This window comes from Homo sapiens, chromosome 14 (genome assembly GCF_000001405.40).
Source record: "Homo sapiens chromosome 14, GRCh38.p14 Primary Assembly".
Lineage (NCBI taxonomy): Eukaryota > Metazoa > Chordata > Mammalia > Primates > Hominidae > Homo > Homo sapiens.
Window position 1 is genome coordinate 87916428 of NC_000014.9, and position 20195 is coordinate 87936622.

At 38.6% G+C, this 20195-nt stretch overlaps 1 protein-coding gene across 12 annotated transcripts in view, besides 1 other annotated feature; it reads right to left on the bottom strand.

Annotated features, from left to right (window-relative positions):
• Window positions 218–512: a silencer, noted in NCBI's record as "tiled region #1922; K562 Repressive non-DNase unmatched - State 24:Quies". NCBI's record gives its function as "represses a minimal TATA promoter and a strong SV40 promoter by Sharpr-MPRA in K562 cells {active_cell/tissue: K562}" and the evidence as "EXISTENCE:reporter gene assay evidence [ECO:0000049][PMID:27701403]".
• GALC (galactosylceramidase) overlaps window positions 16587–20195 on the bottom strand; it is a 60654-nt gene continuing 57045 nt past the window's right edge. For 11 of the 12 annotated variants that reach the window (NR_187582.1, NM_001424076.1, NM_001201402.2 and 8 more), the window contains one exon: window positions 16587–18451. Coding sequence is in view for 11 of the 12 variants with exons in the window: in NM_001424076.1 (NP_001411005.1) it covers window positions 18305–18451 (147 nt within the window). In the remaining variant the exon portion in view is untranslated. The remainder of the gene's footprint in view (window positions 18452–20195) is intronic. The other variant, NM_001424073.1, reaches the window with a different exon arrangement.

Here is a 20195-nt window from a genome sequence, read left to right on the forward strand (position 1 = left end):
GCGGGGCTGGAGGGTTGTGTGCCTGCCAAGGCTCAGAGGGCAATGGAGGTACAGCGGGAGAAAGGAGGCGGGGATGGGGGAGCGGAGGCACTCACTCTGGCAGCAGTGACAGGGCAGGGTGCACTCAAACACGCACACTGGTGGGGTAGGGAGGGAAGGTAAGATCCGCCGGGGCACACGAGCGCCAGCAAAGAGGTGTGGCGGGTGGTCCTGGGCTGGGTGAGCTGCAGTGGAGGAAGGAGCAGGCGGGCTGATGCTGGTCCCAGGGGCCGCCCTGCTGGAGGTCTCGTCAGGCGCTGTCTGCCAGTGCAGGTGCTGAGATTCAGACCCCCAGGGCACCTGAGGCTGCACTGCAAGCAGACGCAGCCAGGCTGGGGCCCCCGGGAGAAGCCAGCAGACCAAGGGTTGCTCAGGTCGGAGCAGCCCCATCTGATGGGCAACACTGCCCTGCAGAGTTCAGGTCCCACAGTTCCCCTAGAGCTAAAGTCAACTATGGGAACAAGTGGAGCCTAGGCGATGGGCATCAGCTTGCTGTGCTCTACTACAGAGGCTTCCATACCAAACCCTCTGGGCTCTTCACTGGCTGGAGTGCTGCCCCTACCACTTCTCTGAGTAGCTCTCCTTGCCAACTCAAGTGTCCGTGGCAATCGAGAGGTCTCTTCATGCTAGGATTCCAGAAGCCTGTGGCAAGGGTAAGTTGCTCCTTACCAGTTCAACTCACCCATTCTCCCTGAGTCATCGAGGGCCAGGAACCAGTCCCTCCCCTTGTGCAGTAGACCCAAGCAGGGTTCCCAGCTCCCTCCCGCTTCAGCCGGTTTCTGTGTCTTCTCTGGATCCACTCTCAGTGCCTTCCCTCTGAAGATGTTAGGAGCGCACCAGTCTTCCAGTTCCCTTTGTGGCAGCTGTTCCACCTGGCTCCATCTAGCCAGCCATCTTGCCTCAGGAGCCCCCTGATTGATTTTTAAGTGCCTTCTATATTCACTTAAGTTGGGACTTTATTCTATGCTAGGGATTGGCAAACTTTTTCTGTAAAGGACCAGAGTGTAAATATTTTTGGTTTTGCCAGCCATATGATCTCTGTCACAACTACTTAACTCTGCTGTTGCAACAAGAAAATCGCCATAGATCATATATAAATGTTGACTGTGGCTGTACCTCTTTGGGCTTTAGTTTCTCCTCTGCTAGCCTTAGTCTGTTGACACCTGTTCTATACCCTCCATTTTTGGTTTATTCCTGGGCCATTTCCATGCTCACTGCATTACCACAACTTTTAAGTCCTTTCTCATTATACTTCTTTATAGAATTTTTCTGGCTATTCTTTAGTATCTATTCATCTAGAAGAACTTTAAAATCATTTTTTAAGAACATCTTGTTGGAATTATAATTGCAGTATAATTTAATCCATAAGTAAATTTAGAGAAAATGCCATCCTTTCAAAATTATCATCGGATCTTCATTTATTGAAGTATCCTATCATCATTAATTTTCTTCCTAGAGGGGCAGTGTAGGCAGACTCAAATCCGAGCTCTGCCACTTCTGAGTAGTGTGAGTTTGGGCAAGTTACTTCTCTGTGCTATTTTCTCATCAGTAAATGGGAATAATAGTATCTCTCTTGCAGGGTTTGGGGAGGATTAAACGATTTGCAGGGCACATGGAAAGCACTGTTCACTTGGTGCTCTAAGTCTCTTGTTACATATGGTAGATAATAGTGGTTATTGCTGTGAGTATCCTCTTCTCTTTCTAACTTTAAAAAATGGTTCTAGTGCTTCACCATTAGGCACAATGGAAATAACTCATGGAAATTACCCAAATATGATGTGTTACTATTTTACTGCTTATCTAGTATATGTATTGACTTTTATCAAATGCCTTTGCCACACGTGTTGTAATCAACACTTTCTTCCCTCTTTTAGCCATCAACATGGAGAATTCCACAAGCAGATTTCCACGACTGATCCATCTTTGATTTGTTAAAATGAACCTCACTTGGCTGTGGTGCTATCCTTTTATTCATTGCTAGGTTGTTTTTGCTTGTACTTTATTTGGGATTTTCATATCAATATTCTCATAAAAGATTACATTGCATAGCTAAATTGTTTTTAAGTGCCACTCTCACTCATCTTTTATACTAATGTTATGCTTGCTTCATAAAGATAATTCAGAAGGTTCACTTTCTCTGTTCTGAAATACTTTTAAACTGCCTAAGAGCCATCTGATCCTTAATAATTTAAAATTATCCAACTGGAAACTGTTTGTGCCTGATTTTTTATGATAACTGGCTCAATTTCTTCTGCAATAATTGGTCAGATTCATTTTTTCAGTTCTTTTTGAGACCTTTTTTTATTAAAGCCTTTTTAAAGAAAAGCGTTCATTTATCCTAATTTTTCTATTTCTTGACAGATTATCTGCGTTTGGATCTACTGGTTACAGAAAATCTATAAAACTTTTCTAGTTCATACTTGTTTCATTTTTATTATTTCTTTCCTTGTTTATTCATTGATTTTTAATTAAAAAGACAAATAATTATTGTATACATCTCACTCTGTGCTCATCATAGAAACTTTACTTTACCTGTCCTCCTGACTTCAATCTAATGCACAGCCTTTAATGGTAATTAGAAATGCCATCGAGCAGAAGCAAAAGCCCTAATGCTTGATGATACAAGATACAGAACAGGAGAAAAAGGCAAATAAAAATCATGGTTTTGGGACAGGGGGCTTGTTAGGCTACAAGAATGGCACCCAACTTTGACTACAAAATTAGATTCACCTGGGGTGCTTCTAAAATAAATTATGAATGCCTTGACCCCTCACCAAACTAATCAACTCAGACTCTTTGGCAGAACCCAGGAATCAAGATTTTAAGCCTCCTCAGATTATTCTAACATACATCCAGAGTTGAGAAGAACTAGGTTCTGGAAATACAACAGGACGGGTAAAAACAAAGCCTTCAGAGGAATATGGCCACGTAGTCTCCACCCACACCCACCATTCAAAGACAAGGGCCCTAAGCTATGCCTGACCCACAGGCCTGCTTTGGGGATTCTATTCCAGACACAAGGAATTGGATCTCTCTGTAGGGGTCTAAGATACAAGATCACACCATCATCACCTCCAAAGACAGGCTTATGACATTAGAAATACCTTAGGAACAACAACAGCAAATAACAAAAACATGTGCACAGAAATAGACAAGCTCTCTCCCAGTAGACATAGAAAAGCAAGGTCAGGGCCCAGAAGCCACAGAAAGGAAATCCCTGCAGCTCTCTGCTCTCTGTTCTACACAGTCACCATTTCCTTTAAAAAAAAAACACTTAGAACCATGGAAATAAATCCTGGGATCCTGGGAGTAAGGTTCAATGTCTCTCATCCATGATCTAGATTTGATAACACTTCAGGACAGCATTTTCAAATTTAATGCATGGCTCAAAAGAAAGTCTCTCAAACAAGATAGGGTGAAAACTTTATTGAATAATGCTTCTCCACTCAACCCTATCCCATCTCCCCAAAATACTTAAGAATCTTTCACTAACCTAGCAGGTCAGCCTTTTCCTATCTTTTTCTTCCATTTTTTGTTAAGCTAATTAACATATCTTTGGTGCTAGATAACACATCAACTAGTCGGGCTTTTTACATTCTTCATAATTAATCTAAGAGTAGTTTTATTTATTTCATATGATAATCAACCCCAAAACCTCCAGCTTCCCTAGTAATTTAGGATGGAGTCAGACAGACTAGCCCAAGTCCCAACACTCACTAGATTTTTATCTATGGGCACGTTTTCCAATTTTAGTTTCAAATATTATCTACCTCATAGGGTTGTTACAAGGATGAAATGACTCATGAAGAGTGCTTAACACCATGTCTGCCACCTCATAAACACTACATCTACTCAACCAACAGCTATTTATTTGTTGGATTATGTCTTGTGCATCAAGGGGTATGTTAGGCACTACAGATACAGTGGCGTGTGAAATCAAACTTGATCCCTGCTTTCATGGAGCTTATAAACTAATTCTCAATAAATTCCCACTGTTATTATTTCAAGATGCTAAGAATGGGAACAATCCATTCACTGCTAAAACTACATAGTTTAAGTGGTACAGCAAGAATTCGCAAACTTTTACTTGAGCATGCTAATTCCCAAATGGCAGGTATTTGTACAGTGAAGTTTCATAGGCAGAAACCATGCAGCACTGAAGGGCTGGATAACTTTAATTAAACTTGAAATAACAGGGCCTACGAGTGTGTAGATGCAGCCTAAGAAGACCATCTTTCTGCTCTCAGGAAGTCTTCCCAGGGCATTCCATTTCCCCTTCAGCCACTTTACCTCTCTGGGCTTTAGTTTCTCCTCTGCAAAATGAAGTAGCTGTGCCCAATTAGTTCTAAGATCTCTGCCAGCTCTCACACTTCTCAATAATTTAAATTCTGTGGTTTTTGTTTGTTCCCTAAAAGCAATAATGATTCAGGTCTGCCAGCTTTAGTATATTAATATTGACAACAACTAGGCAAAATGCTTGTCCACTGATTGAGATTTTAAATAACATTAACAAAAATAGCACCCTATGGCAGAGGCTGCTAGTTGCCTACCCCAACATCCATTTTCCTCTCCCTCCTTAGTAACTGGGCCCCAGTTTTATTTGAAGTGTTAATGTGCCCAGCTGAAAAGTCATATTTCTCAGCCTCCAATGTGACTTTCTGGCTAGAATTCTACTAAGTTGTGGTCAATGACATATAAATTGGTCTTTCCCAGCAAGTCTCCTTAAATGGGAAGGGTCAAGTCCTTTTCCCCTAATGAGCAGCAATTTCAAAAAGAAATATGTTGAAGGTAAAATGCTACGGAAACATGCAAAAGAGAAATGTTCAAAAGTCAGTATTTGTTTTAAAAATTTAGTTAAATATCACTATAACCTGGCAAGCCATAAACATCTTCTTTAGACAACTAAATTAATGGATCTTTACACCTTTTACACTGCTAGGGAAAAAATATCATCACAGTTAGACTAATTGTAAGTTTTTTATTCAACATTCATTCAACAAATACTTATGATCATTGAAGATTTCCCAAGCATTCTTCTACCTTCTACAAAAACAGCCAAAAATTCCTGTGCTTTAAGATAGTTATATTTTTATCATAAAATGTAATGCAGTGCTCCAAATAGATTTTACCTTTCATTTAAGAATTTCGAGATGAATCTGTAGTAGTCAGAGTTCTAGGATGAAGGCATCTGTAGTAGTCAGGGTTTGCCAGAGAAAACAGAACCAACAGGGTGTGTGTGTGTGTGTGTGTGTGTGTGTGTGTGTGTGTGTGTGTGTAGAGAGAGAGAGATTTACTTTAAGAAATTGGCTCATAGAATTGTAGAGGCGTAGTGATATGGTTTGGCTGTGTCCCCACCGAGATCTCATCTTGAACTGTAGCTCCCATAATTCCCACATCGTGGGAGGGATCCAGTGGAAGGTAGTAGAATCATGGGGGTGGGTATTTCCCATGCTGTTCTCATGATAGTGAATAAGTCTCATGAGATCTGACGGTTTCATAAATAGGAGTTCCCCTGCACACACTCTTCCCTGCCGCCATGTAAGACATGACCTTGCTTCACCTTTGCCTTCTGCCATGATTGTGAGGCCTTTCCAGCCACGTGGAACTGTGAGTCAATTAAACCTCTTTCCTTTATAAATTACCTGGTCTCGGGTATGTCTTTATTAGCAGCATAAAAACAGACTAATGCATGTAGCAAATCCAAAATCTACAGGGTAGGCCAGCAGGCTGGACACCGAATTTCAGTCCAAGTCCAAAAACTGCTTGCAGAATTCCTCCATAGAGAGGTCAGTCTTTTTCTATTAAAGCCTCCAACTGATTGGAGGAGGTCCACCCACAATATGAAGAGTAATCTGCTTTACCCAAAGTCTACTGATTTAAATATTCATCTTAAAAAGACCCCTTCACAGAAACATCTAAAATGATATTTGTCCAAATATCTGAGTACTGTGGCTTAGGCAAGTTGACACAAGATTAACCATCGCATCATCTTAGTTTTATTTGCAAACCTTAATTATTTGCAAAGATAATCACAAGCTATGTAAGAGGAAAGACACTTCCTGAAGGTCTGTGGCCTGGACCTACAAGAGGGAAAGAAGACTCTCAGTCACTTTTGTGTTACTATAAAGGAATATGTGAGGCTGGATAATTTAGAAAGAAAAGAGATTTGGCCCATGGTTCTGCAGGCTGTACAAGAATCATGGCACAGTCATCTGCTCTGCTTCTAGTAAGGGCTTTTATGATGTGTGAAAAGACGGTGGAGAAGGTCCAAGGGGAAGTGGGAACATGTGAACAGAGACCAAACCTGAGGGGCATCCTGACTTTATAAAAACCCAAATGAATCCATTTCTTGGGAACCAATCAGTCTCACATGAGCAAGAACTCACTCACTACTGCAAGAACAGCACCAAGCCATTCCTGATGGATCCCCTACTTATGACCCAAATACCTCCCACTAGGCCTCACCTCCTAACACCGCCACACTTGTGGTCAAATTTCAACATGAGCTTTGGTGAAGACAAATAAACCATACCCAAACTATAGCAGGGGCTTCACCTGAGAAAGTGACCTTCAACTCACTCAGTCTTGCAGTAAATTTTCAAATTATTCTGGGATTGTTACTAGCTCCACCTAAGGAGTAGTCAAGCATATACCTAGTCTCCAGAGTCATTAGAAACAGGCAGGTGAGGAGAGACACCTTGACACCTTCCATTTGCAAAATTCCTGATCGTATTCCCACCACTATCAGAGAGTATCATAAGTAGCTAAGAACCCTTGTGAGCCTTCAGGGCCAGAAATTGTCCAATGCTACCTAGGGGGATGCCACTGGGATCCCCACACTGAAGTCCCATCTGTGCATCAGTAAGTTATTATTTACCTACATTAAAGGAACTTGTATCCTCTCCGTGTGTCTAGTAGGGTCTCTGAGTGGCAGACAGCCTGTTTATCAAATATAGTAGTAAATGCATTGTAATGAAATCAGAAATGCCAAAGCCTATGCTGATTTCCAAAGGACAAGGGACCACCTCACATATAAAATCTTTAATATGGTCTTAAATACTACCCACATCCTGTTAAATATATACCACACAATGCAAAAACATTACTCAGTGCAATCTGTTAAACAGATGCAGAAAGTAATAAACTGTCTCTTCAATATAATTTTCAAGTCACTTAATTCTATATTTTTCTCCCCTAGTGAATGTGAAAACTATAAATAACCTGGTGGAACAAAATCACTTCAAATATCTTGTCCAACAATCACTCACAATCCCTCAAAGTGTTTGCATTTTTCCTAGTTGAATAGCAATTATCAATTTTATGGAGCATCAAGTTCAGTTTTATTGGAGAAGGAAGGAGATGGAGGAGGTGACAGAGGAGGAGGAGTGGGAGGAAGAGTGGGAGGAAACACTTCAGAACAATTTCAAATTATCTATGGACTTAAACAGAAGAGCTGTTTTCAGTATAATATGATCAAACTATAATACTCCTGACCAAGAAAGCCAGGCTTTCTTTCAAGTGAATGTAAAATACTAACAAAACAGAAGAAAAATCAAGTATAAGGAAGAAATCTACCTATGAGCAAAGACTGTAGAACACCATGATTTCTAAATCATGCCTTCGTGATTTGGAGTGGTGTAAATCACATCACAATGCTTCGACCCCCCGGCCCCCATAGTTTAAAATAATACCAGTAGACCTGTGAGGATAATAAAAGATGGTCCTTTTTAAGCAGGTTACATGTATAGAGGAATGGAATCTGCCATAAAGCATATATATATAATATATATATATATATATATATATATATATATATATATATATATATAATATATATATATATATATATATATATATAATATATATATATATAATGAAGTTAAATCCATTTGCAAAATAATTTCATTTGATGAAGCCATTTGACCAAGGTGTAAACATACAAGGCACTGTCTGGTCATCTTTCATTGTGGGAAACAATAGGCAGCAAATCTTATTAAGAAAAAAAAAACCTCTTCTGGTAAGCAACTCTAGCCTAGTTAAATATTTGAATTAAATTTGAAAAATACAAATGTTTAAATCAGCATTAGAGAGTAAGAGCTGGAAGGTGTCTCAGTGATTATCCAGCCTAATTTCTTTGTTTTACAGAAAGAGCAGCTTCAGTGATTCGACCAAAGTCAGATAAATAGGCAGCAGGTCTGGCATTCAACCTAGATCTTAGGACTCAAGTTCAGTGCTTTTACCATAGTGCTTTTCCAGGTGTTGCTGTTGGTGTGTAAAGTAACTTTGGCCACTTACAAAGTGATTTCACTTAGAGGCTCTGATGAGTCTACTTAATTAATACAATTCACGGTTACTGGTAGCCATCTACCAGTACAGCCTGTCTAATCAAACATCAAGTCCTTGATGATCACCTATTAATATGTGTGCAGCAACACAGGGAATGTAGAAGTATACGACATTCTTTATATCCAAATACTTCAAAGCTACTTGAGATTAAGCTAACAGCTGAAACAGGGTCTAAAGCACGATGATGAATATGTGGTGCAAATCACAGATGATCCTCTACATACCATGGGGCTATATTCAGAAAAATCCATCATAAGCTGAAATATCAAGTTGAAAATGCATTTAATACACCTAACCTACTGAATGAACATCATAGCTTAGCCTAGCCTACCTTAAATATGCTAAGGATAGTTGCATTAGCCTGTAGCTGGCAAAATCATTTCAAAAAACACAGGCAACACAGTACACTATAGAATATCTGTTGTTTACCCTCAGGATCACATGGCTGATAGGAGATACTGCTTGCTGCCACTGCCCAGTGTCAGGAGAGAGTATTGTACCATATATCACTAGCCCAGGAAAAGGTCAAAATTTGAAGTATAGTTTCTACTGAATGTGTATCATTTTTGCAGCATCATAAAGTTGAAAAATCATTAAGTTGAACCATCATAAGTTGGGGACTATCTGTCTTAGTGTCAAAATATTTCAGAAAAGGACACCATCTCTACAAAAAAAAATTAAAAATTAGCCAGGTGTGGTAGCACATGCATGTAATTCCTAGCTACTCAGGAGGCTGAGGCAGGATAACTGCCTGAGCCTAGGGGTTCGAGGCTGCAGTGAGCTATGATGGTGCCATTCCACTCCAGCCTAGGTGACAGAATGAGACTCTGTCTCTAAAAAATTAAAAAAGGCTCATGATGGCCAGATATTCAAGTAAATGAATGGAGAGTTCCATGTCCAGCCTTGAGGGAATAAAAACTAAAACTGGACCAGTCCTCCCACTGTAAACAACAGTTTCAGAGAGTAGACAGCAGGAAGCCCAGTACTGTGATCAGAGAAAAACAGAGAAATCAGTGAGGTGCATTTTGTGATCCCCCATTTCTGTCTGGAGCCACTTACCAGATTCCAGGGCAGAGAGGGGAAATACAGAGTATATGGGTCTTGTGGAGCTGTGGAGATAAAGATCAGAGTTCAAAGAGGCTGCAGCACCTGAAATTTGCAGTGCAGAGTATCTGAGAGAAGGGTGCTATGCAGAAAAAGAGGTTCAGAAATCTCAGAGGGGGGTCTATTTGTGTCTTTAGCCCTAAACTAAGCTAAACATTCACAGTGTGAAAGCCCTTGGGCCAGACAAAGAATAATCAGGAAAGTGTTAGCTGAACAACTATCAAAATTATCAGAGGACTAGAAGATATTTAAGATGTGAACAAATATAGTGGAGAGAACTCATTTAGCTCCCAGGGAATTCCACGCCTTAAGAACAGGGCTAGACTAGAGCTAGAATGCCCCAGGAGAATCAACCTCTCAGACTGAACCTGAACAGGGAAATAGAAAACACATATTTTCTGTATTTGGAGAGCTTAACTCTTCTCACTCAGTAATTAACAGTAAATGTAGAGAGAAAATCAGTAAGTCATAGACATCAACACGATCAACTAACACGACCTAATTAATATTTGTAATACATTACAGCCAGTCACTGCAGAAGGCAAATTATTTTTATGGGTACACTAAGATAAATTGGGTCATAAAACAAGTCTAAATACATTTAAGATAGTTGAAATGAAACACAACATATTTTCTAATCACAACAGAATTAAGTTTCAATATCAATGACAAAAAGTTACCTGGAAAATCTTCAAATACTTAGAAATTAAACATTGACCTTCTACAATAATTAGCACAAAGGTCAAAAAAGTACAAGACAACTTAGAAAACATTCTGAACTGAATGAAAATTAAAACATAGATATTAAAATATGTGAGATGCAACTAAATAAATGTTTAAATTTTAGTGTTAAATGTTTACATACTTAAAAAAAGTCTAAAATCAAAGATCTAAGCTTGCATCTTAAGAAACTAGAATAAGAGTAAATTTAATCTGAAAGTAGGCTAAATAATAAAGGTACAAGCAGCAATTAGTGAAACAGAAAAAAAAAATCTAAGAAATTTAGAACTGGTTCTTTGAAAAATAAATAAAATTGACAAAATATTAATTAGACCAATAAAGATAAAAAGAAAGCACAAATTGGCCATATCAGGAATGTCTTATTGATATTAAAATAAAGGAATATTTTAAACAATGTTATGCCAATAAATTAGACAATTTAGATGAAGTTGACAAATTCCTTAAAAGACAAATTGTCAAAACTGACATAAGAAATAGAAAAATTGGCCAGGAGCAGTGGCTCACGCCTGTAATCCCAGCACCTTGGGAGGCCAAGGTGGGTGGATCACGAGGTCAGGAGATCGAGACCATCCTGGCCAACATGGTGAAACTCCGTCTCTACTAAAAATACAAAAATTAGCTGGGCATGGTGGTGCGCACCTGTAATCCCAGCTACTCGGGAGGCTGAGGCAGGAGAATCACTTGAACCCGGGAGGCAGAGGTTGTAGTGAGCTGAGATTGCGCCACTGCACTCCAGCCTGGAGATAGAGCAAGACTCTTAAAAAAAATAAAAAAAAAAAAGAAAGAAAAATTGGAATAGCCCTGTATCTGTTAAATCTTCTCAGCCTCAAACCCACTCGTTTGACCTGCTTTATGATACTGGAGCTGGGTCCTGCCAACATTTCTCCTGTGTCAGATGGCATACTTAAGCTTTATCAGTGAAGGTTATAAAGACACTGCAGGAGGAAGCAGCTTCTCTTCTCTGTCCCAGTGTGCTTTTTCCTTCCTGCTTCTGTGGCATGTGGCTACTAGCAAGCAGCATTTGGGACACCCAGTGAAGCACCTCTTCCAGTAGGAGTTGGAACAACCAGTGGCACTTACTTTGCCGGGATTTTCACCAACAATCCTACAGGTGGTTTCCCAGAAAGTTTCACCAGCACCACAAAGGGTGGTTTCCTAGTGAGTTTCAGCAGCGCCTTAGGAGGAGCTTCCCCAGGAGTCTGACACATACCCCAGAAGACAGTTTCCCACTTGCCAGCCCCAGCACACAGCATCTCAGCAAACTCTAGGCCATTCCAGGGTCACACTATATCAACACTATATCATCTGCAGTTGAGATCTGAGCCTCAGCCATGTAAGGAGGATCTCTTCCGAGTTTGTTCCCGCTGTGAGTACTCTGCCCCGGCCTAGGAAGTGGCTGGTCTCTACATCTGCTCTTCCTGTATTCTTTGGAGTTCTCTCTACCCCTTAGCTGCTAATCTCATTACTGTTAATAATTCTTAAGATTAGATTGGTCCTGGCATGGTTTCTGTCTCCTGACTGGACCCTGACTGATACAACTGATGAATTCTAAGATTTAAGAACCTCACAAACTTTCAGAGAATAAAGAAGGAGGCAGCATTTCCAAACTGAATTTATGAGGTATCACCCTGCCACCAAACCAGATAAAGACATTAGGAGAAAATAAAACTAGATCAATATTCCACAGGAACACAGACACAAACACTTTTAGCCAAATATTGGCAGATTGAATTCACCAGTACATAAACAGGGTAACAAACCCCACTTCGTCATGACATATCTCACAAATGCAAAGTTGCTTTAATATCTGAAAATCAAACCATGTGATATATCACATTAACGTAATAAAGAAGATAGTATAACTATCTCATTAGATGTAGAAAAAAAGCATTTAACATTCAGTACTCATTCATAAGCAAGCAGGAAGTATGAAAAAAATTCCCTAAAGGGAATCTAAAAAAGAAAAAAAGAAAGAAAACTCTAGAACTAACTTCACACTTAATGGTGAAAGAGACTCTTCCTAAGATGAGGAACAAGGCTGATACATCTGTTCTTACCACTTCTCAACATTGTACTTGAAGTCCGGGTCAGTGTAATAAGGCAACAAAAGCATCAGAAACACAGCAGAAATATTGAAAAGGAAGAAGCAGAATTGTCTATATTCACAGATGACATAATTATATATGTAGAAAATTCTAAAGAATTTACCCAAAAAAAGCTAAACTAAAAAGTGAATTTCGCAAGGCAGCAGGATTGCAGGTCAATATACAAAAACCAACTGTATTTCTATGTATGAGTAACAAATAATAAACACTATTTACAATAGCATCAAAAACATAAACTATTTAAGGATACATTTAATAAAAAACATCTTCAAGATCTGTATGCTGAAAACTACAGAAACTGCTGAGAGAAATTACAGACTTAATGTATGAAAAGGTGTCACTGCTCCTCAGCAAATGCCAAAGAACTGAAATCATAGTCTCTCAGACCACAGTGCAATCAAATTAGAACTCAGGATTATGAAACTCACTCAAAACTACACAATTACATGGAAATTGAACAACCTGCTCCTGAATGACTCCTAGGTAAATAATGTAATTAAGGCAGAAATCAAGAAGTTCTTTGAAACCAATGAGAACAAAGAGAACATACGAGAATCTGGGGAACACAGCTAAAGCAGTGTTAAGAGGGAAATTTATACCACTAAATGCCCACATCAGAAAGTGAGAAAGATCTCAAATTGACATTTTAACATCACAATTAAAAGAGCTAGAGAAGCAAGAGCAAACTAATCCAAAAACTAGCAGAAGACAAGAAATAACATCAGAGAAGAATTGAAGGAGATAGAGACACGAAAAGCCCTACAAAAAAATCAATGAATCAAGGAGCTAGTTTTTTGAAAAAAATAATAAAATGGATAGACCACTAGCTAGACTAATAAAGAAGAGGGAAGAATCAAATAGACACAATAAAAAATGATAAAGGGGTATCACCGCTGACCCCACAGAAATACAAACTACCATCACAGAATACTATAAACATTTCTATGCACATAAACTAGAAAATCTAGCAGAAACGGATAAATTTCTGGACACATATACCTTCCCAAGACTAAACTAGGAGGAAGTCGAATCCCTGAATAGACCAATAACAAGTTCTGAACTTGAGGCAGCAATTAATAGCCTACCAACAAAAAAGCCCAGGACAAGATGGATTCACAGCCAAATTCTACCAGAGGTATAAAGAGGAACTGGTATCATTCCTTCTGAAACTATTCCAAACAATTGAAAAGGAGAGACTCCTCCCTAACTCACTGTACAACACATCATCCTGATACCAAAAACTGGGAAGAGACATAACAAAAAAAGAAAACTTCAGGCCAATATCCCTGATGAACATCAACATGAAAATCCTCAATAAAATACTGGCAAACCGAATCCAGCAGCACATCAAAAAATTCATCCACCACGATCAAGTTGGCTTCATCCCTGGGATGCGAGGCTGGTTCAACCTATGCAAATCAATAAACACAATCCATCACATAAACAGAACCAAAGACAAAAACCACATGATAATAGAGGCAGAAAAGGACTTTGATAAAATTCAACATCTCTTTATGTTAAAAACTGTCAATAAACTAGGTATTGATGGAACATATCTCAAAATAAGAAGAGCTATTTATGACAAACCCACAGCCAATATCATATTGAATGGGAAAAAACTGGAAGCATTCCCTTTGAAAACCAGCACCAAGGCAAGGATACCCTCTCTCAACAATCCCATTCAACATAGTATCAGAAGTTCTGGCCAGGGCAATCAGGCAAGAGAAAGAAATAAAGGGTATTCAGATAGGAAGAGAGAAAGTCTAATTGTCTCTGTTTGCAGATAACATGATTCTAAATTTAGAAAACCCCATCATCTCAGTCCAAAAACTCCTTAAGCTGATAAGCAACTTCAGCAAAGTTTCGGGATACAAAATAAATGTGGAAAAATCACAAGCATTCCTTTACACCAACAATAGACAAGCAGAGAGCCAAATCATGAATGAACTCTCATTCACAATTGCTACACAGAGAATAAAATACCTACGAATACAGCTAACAAGGGATGTGAAGGACCTCTTCAAGGACAACTACAAACCACTGCTCAAGGAAGTAACAGAGGACACAAACAAATGGAAAAACATTCCATCCTCATGGATAGGAAGAATCAATATCATGAAGATGGCCACACTGCCCAAAGTAATTTATAGATTCAATGCTATTCCCATCAAACTACCCTTGACATTTTTCACAGAATTAGAAAAAACTACTTTAAATTTCATATGAAATCAAAGAAGACCCCATATAGCCAAGAAAATCCTAAGCAAAAAGAACAAAGCTGGAAGCATCATGTTAGCTGATGTCAAACTATACTATAAGACTACAGTAACCAAACCAGCATGGTACTGGTACCAAAACAGACATATAGATCAATGGAACAGAACAGAGACTTCAGAAATAACACCACACATCTACAACCATCTGCTCTTCGACAAACCTGACAAAAACAAGCAGTGGGAAAAGGATCTCCTATTCAATAAATGGTGCTGGGAAAACTGGCTAGCCATATGCAGAAAACTGAAACTGGACCCCTTCCCTACACCTTATAGAAAAATTAACTCAAGATGAATAAAAGACTTAAATGTAAAACCCAAACCATAAAAACCCTAGAAGAAAATCTAGGCAATACCACCAAGGACATAGGCATAGGCAAAGACTTCATGATGAAAATGCCAAAAGCAATTGCGAAACAGCCAAAATTGACAAACGGGATCTAATTAAACTAAAGAGCTTCTGCACAGCAAAAGAAACTATCATCACATTGAACAGGCAACCTACAGAATGAGAAAACATTTTTGCAGTCTATCCATCTGACAAAGGTCTAATATACAGAATTTACAAAGTACTTAAATGTACAAGAAAAAAACAACTCCATCGAAAAGTGGGCAAAGAATATGAACAGACACTACTCAAATAGAAGACATTTACCTACCCAACAAACATGAAAAAAAGCTCAACATCACTAATCATTAGAGAAATGCAAATCAAAACCACAATGAGATACCATCTCATGCCAGTCAGAATGGCAATTATTAAAAAGTCAAGAAAGAACAGATGCAGGTGAGGCTGTGGAGAAATAGAAGTGCTTTTACACTGTTGGTGGGAATGTAAATTAGTTCAACCATTGTGGAAGACAGTGTGGTGATTCCTCAAGGATCTAGAACCAGAAATACCATTTGACCCAGCAATCCCATTACTGGGTATACACCCAAAGGAATATAAATCATTCTGATATAAAGACACATGCACACATAAGTTTACTGCAGCACCATTTACAATAGCAAAGTTATGGAACCAACCCAAATATCCATCAACCATAGACTGGATAAAGAAAACATGATACATATACACCATGGAATACTACGCAGCCATAATAAAGAATGAGATCATTTCCTTTGCAGGGACATGGATGAAGCTGGAAGCCGTCATGCTCAGCAAACTAACACAGGAAGAGAAAATCAAACACTGCATGTTCTCACTCATAAGTGGGAGCTGAACAATGAGAACACAAGGACACAGGGAGGGGAACAACACATACCAGGGGCTGTTGGGGGGTGGGGGGCGAGGGGAGGGAACTTAAAAGAATGGGTCAATAGGTGCAGCAAACCACCATGGCACACATATACCTATGTAACAAACCTGCACCTTCTGCACATGTATCCTGGAACTTAAAGTAAAATAAAATTTTTAAAAAGGTGTAACTGCTCATGGATTTGAAGGGTCCATATTAGTCAGATATCAGTTCTCTCCAGATTTATCTATAATTTAAATGCAATCACAATGAAAATTCCATCAGGCTCTTTGCAGAAATAGAGAAAATAATTTTCAAAACTTTTTTTTTTTAAAAAAACATGTATCTGGAAGATGTAAAGAGCTCTTAAAACTCAATGGAAAAAACAGAATTTTTTAGATGAGCAAAATATTTGAATAGATATTACATAAAACAAAGTACATAAATGTCCATTAAGTCCATGACATCTGCTCAATAGCTTTAGTCATCAGAGAAATGTACATACTATACACCCACAATTAAGGGTTAAAATTAAAAAGAATGACAACATGAAGCACTGACAAGAATGCAGAGTAACTGGAACTTTTAAACATTGTTGATAGAAGTGTAAAACCATACAATCATTTTGGAAAACAGTTTGGTAGTTTCTTATAAAGTTAAACATACAATTAACATAAGACCCAGGAATTTCACTCCTCAGTATTCATCCAGAAGAAATAAAAATATATTTGACACAAAGATTGTAAATGTAGACAGTTTTAATTGTAGTATCAGAAACTGGTGGGGAGGAAACAAATTGTGGTATATTCATACAATGGAAAACTCTTCAGAAATAAGAAGGAACAAACCACTGAATCACACAACATGGACAAATCTCAAATCATTATGCTGATGGAAAGAAACCATTCATAAGAATACACAGTACATGACGCCGCTTTCATGATGTTCTGGAACAAAGAAAACTAACCTATAGTGATAGAATTCCTATCAATGGCTGCCAACAATTGGGAGTGAAAGGAACTGACTGAGCAGGTATACAAGAGAACCTTCTGGGGTGATGGAAATATTCTGAAGCTTGACTGGAGTGTTGGTTACATGGGTATATCAATTTATCAAAACTCACTGAATTGTATATTTAAAGTAGGAACATTTTATTGTAAATAAATTACACCTCTATAATGTTCGTTTTAAAAAATATTAGATACATCAGCTGGAAATCACTTGGTTTTAACAAAAAATTTTCTCTGTAATCTTATTTATTCTAGCACTTATCTTCTTGTCTTCAAAAGCAATGCAAAACTTCACTGTAGCTAAGCCTATGTTAGACTCTTACAAATTCCTAAATAGTAGAATTAGTTCAATGAGTAATTCTTATAAATAATTCTAGATTTACTTTACCTACATGAATAACTGATTTGCTACATAGAGCCACATTAATGCTTAGTATAAATCATACAACATGATGAACACGCTCACGTATATTTAAATATAAACATATTTGGACTTTAAAAAGTAAGTACATCTTAGGAGATGATCCAATTCTGGGAGTTAGCAAATGTCTAAGTGCTCCCCTCCTTCCACACATAAGGAGAGAAAAGCATTCATCAGCTGTGTGAGTCTGTTACCAGTGCACATGTGAGGACAGACCACAGCACAGTGAGATGAGGCTGAGGAAACGACTACAACAGCATTGGCTATATCAGGTTTTCTTCCTTCTTCCAGCCACCTGGAAAAACGTTCACAGAGAGTTATAGTGGTTACAAGACCAAAACTTGGAATCAAAAAAATTAAATAATGCAAATAACCCAATTAATCTGCTAATATCTATTACTGCAGAAATAGTGTTAGAGGTAGTTTATTAAAGAGGCATTTTTAAAATCATCCCACTCATCATATCCTGCATTTCAAAAGTATCATCTTAAAAAGGAAAATAAAAAAATACTTTTTAGAGCATAAAGCATAACAGGTTGAAGTGGTTTTCAAAAAGCTACTTCTAGTGTTCTTCAGCTTTCTATTATGGCAGCATCATCTTGTGATGAAGACACTGGCTCACTTGGACACACGGTCAGCATGCATAAATACATCTCAGTGATGATCAAGTTACTGCCATCTACAGGACCGCTTGCAAATAAGATGAAGAGAGCTACCTCAGTGTTAGCAGCAAGGCTTCGAGGTCTGTACTACTCAAACCACTCCTAAGGGTATGGCCAATGCACAGTTTGAATGTTAGGGAACACACCAGGTAATGTTAAAGATTCACCAGTTTTCCCCTTGGAATTAATTCTAATAAAATCTTCCACAGGGTAAATTAAAAATAAATTTCTCTCCCCTTTTACTCTTCATTATTTTTAGTCTCAAAAGCCTCATATACTGTTCCAATGAAACAAGAATTGGCTCTGAACCAAAACCAAAAAGAAGGGAAGAAAATCCAGAGTATTCTATGATGCCCTGTTAAGTATTAGCGTGTGGCTTCCACAAGAAAGTTGTCAAACTGTGCAAATTCAAAGGAGTGAGTTCCAATTGCAGCCCAGCCATTCTTTGGAAAATTCACAGGGATGTCTGTCCACAGAGACTTGTCATTCAGCATGCCAGAGGTGAAATGACCCTAGAGTAGAAAGAAACACATTCCTTGAAACCATATGAAAATGGTCCTCTGAAGTCTGTTTCTTGATCATGTATGGCCCACTACTTAGTGGAGCAAATGTACTACTCACTCAAGACTTAACCACAGCAAAACACAATTCCACAAGTTTGAGCAAAAGTTTAAAATACAGGAAAAAACTCTAGGAAGAAATTCTTATCTACCTACTTAAATCGTTCCCAAAGTACAAGGAATACCTCAATATTTCCTGTGCTCCACCAAAATTTAAAACCAACAAAATGCAAAACTTTTCAGGCATTATTATAAAGTTTTAGAAAAAAGCTCATTAAAATTTAACAAAAGTTATTTATAAGTAGTCACATGTACAAGTGGTGTGGCTAACAGCCACCAGCTCTTCAGACATGACTGCTGGAGTCAAAACATCTGCTTCTACCTCATTGCTTCCTTAAGGTTTTCATTAAGGAGCCTCTGCCCAGCCAGAAGAAAAATAATTAACCTTAGTTTTTGTGTTTTGTTGCCATGAATAGAATATCACTTCAAAGCCATATGAAGCTCCTACCCTTAAGTTGGAAAAACAGTAACCATCAGTTAAAGTGATGCTGGAGTAGGGTGCAGCGGGTGGAAGAAGGGAGGCATCTATAAGGTGTGACTTACTGGTCACTGACAGTGAAAGAAAAAATTACACCTTCCTCCGAATGTTGCCATTCTACTTAGCTCAGTGCCTGGCACATGGTAAACAATAAATCTCAGCTCTTATTATCTTTATGATAGTACATTTATGAGCACATATTCACAGCATACTAACTACAGTCAATCATATAAAACTAGCTACTCTCAGAAGGTGAAGAGCTCAAAACTCAAAGCACTGGGCCAAGAACCAGAATAAATCTGCTTTTAAGTCTTGGAAGTATAACGTAATGGGCCTTAATTTAGTTCTTTTATTTTATGCGTGGAAACACTGAGGCTTAATAGATTAAAGCTCAAAGTCACAGGTTTTCACTCCAAGTTACCTAGCTCCAAATTCAGAGCCACATTCCTATTACTACAGACTTGCACAGCTATCTTCAGCTCTAGAAGTGCTTACTGAACATCTTCTGCTGCCATCAAACACTCAATATTAACACCGAGCCAAGGGACTCAAATCACAGATCACATTAAGCACAAAACCTGTCTAACAGGACCTTATCTCTCCTGACTCCCCAGACTTCAGCCACCCCAGCCTCCAGGCTGCTCTTCACACAATGTCAGCTACACCTGCCTTTTGCACCTGCCACTTGGTCTGCTCAAATTGTTCTTCCCAGCATTCAGGTCTGCACTCAAGTACTACCCACTCAGTGAGGTCTTTCCTCACCTCCCTGGTTAGAGAATCAGGGTAACAGAGCTACTTTATCTCATGACTCTATTTTTTCTTCATAATCATTTATAAACTTATTTACAAGTTTATTATCTCAGGATAGGGCTCAGCAAACTATGACCTACATGCCAACCGCCCTTTTTTTAATAAATAAAATCTTACTGAAACACAGCCACATCCATTGTCTATGGCTTTTTTTCTCATTATTGTCTATTGTCTATGGCTTTTTTACTCATTACAATAGCCGAACTGGGTAGCCACAGCAGAGACCACATGGCCCACGAAGTCTAAAATATTTACTATCTGGCCCTTTACAGAAAAAGTTGCCAACCCCTGTCCTAGAAGAATATATGCTCTAAGAGAGCAGGAATCTTGTCTGTTTCGTTCGCTGCT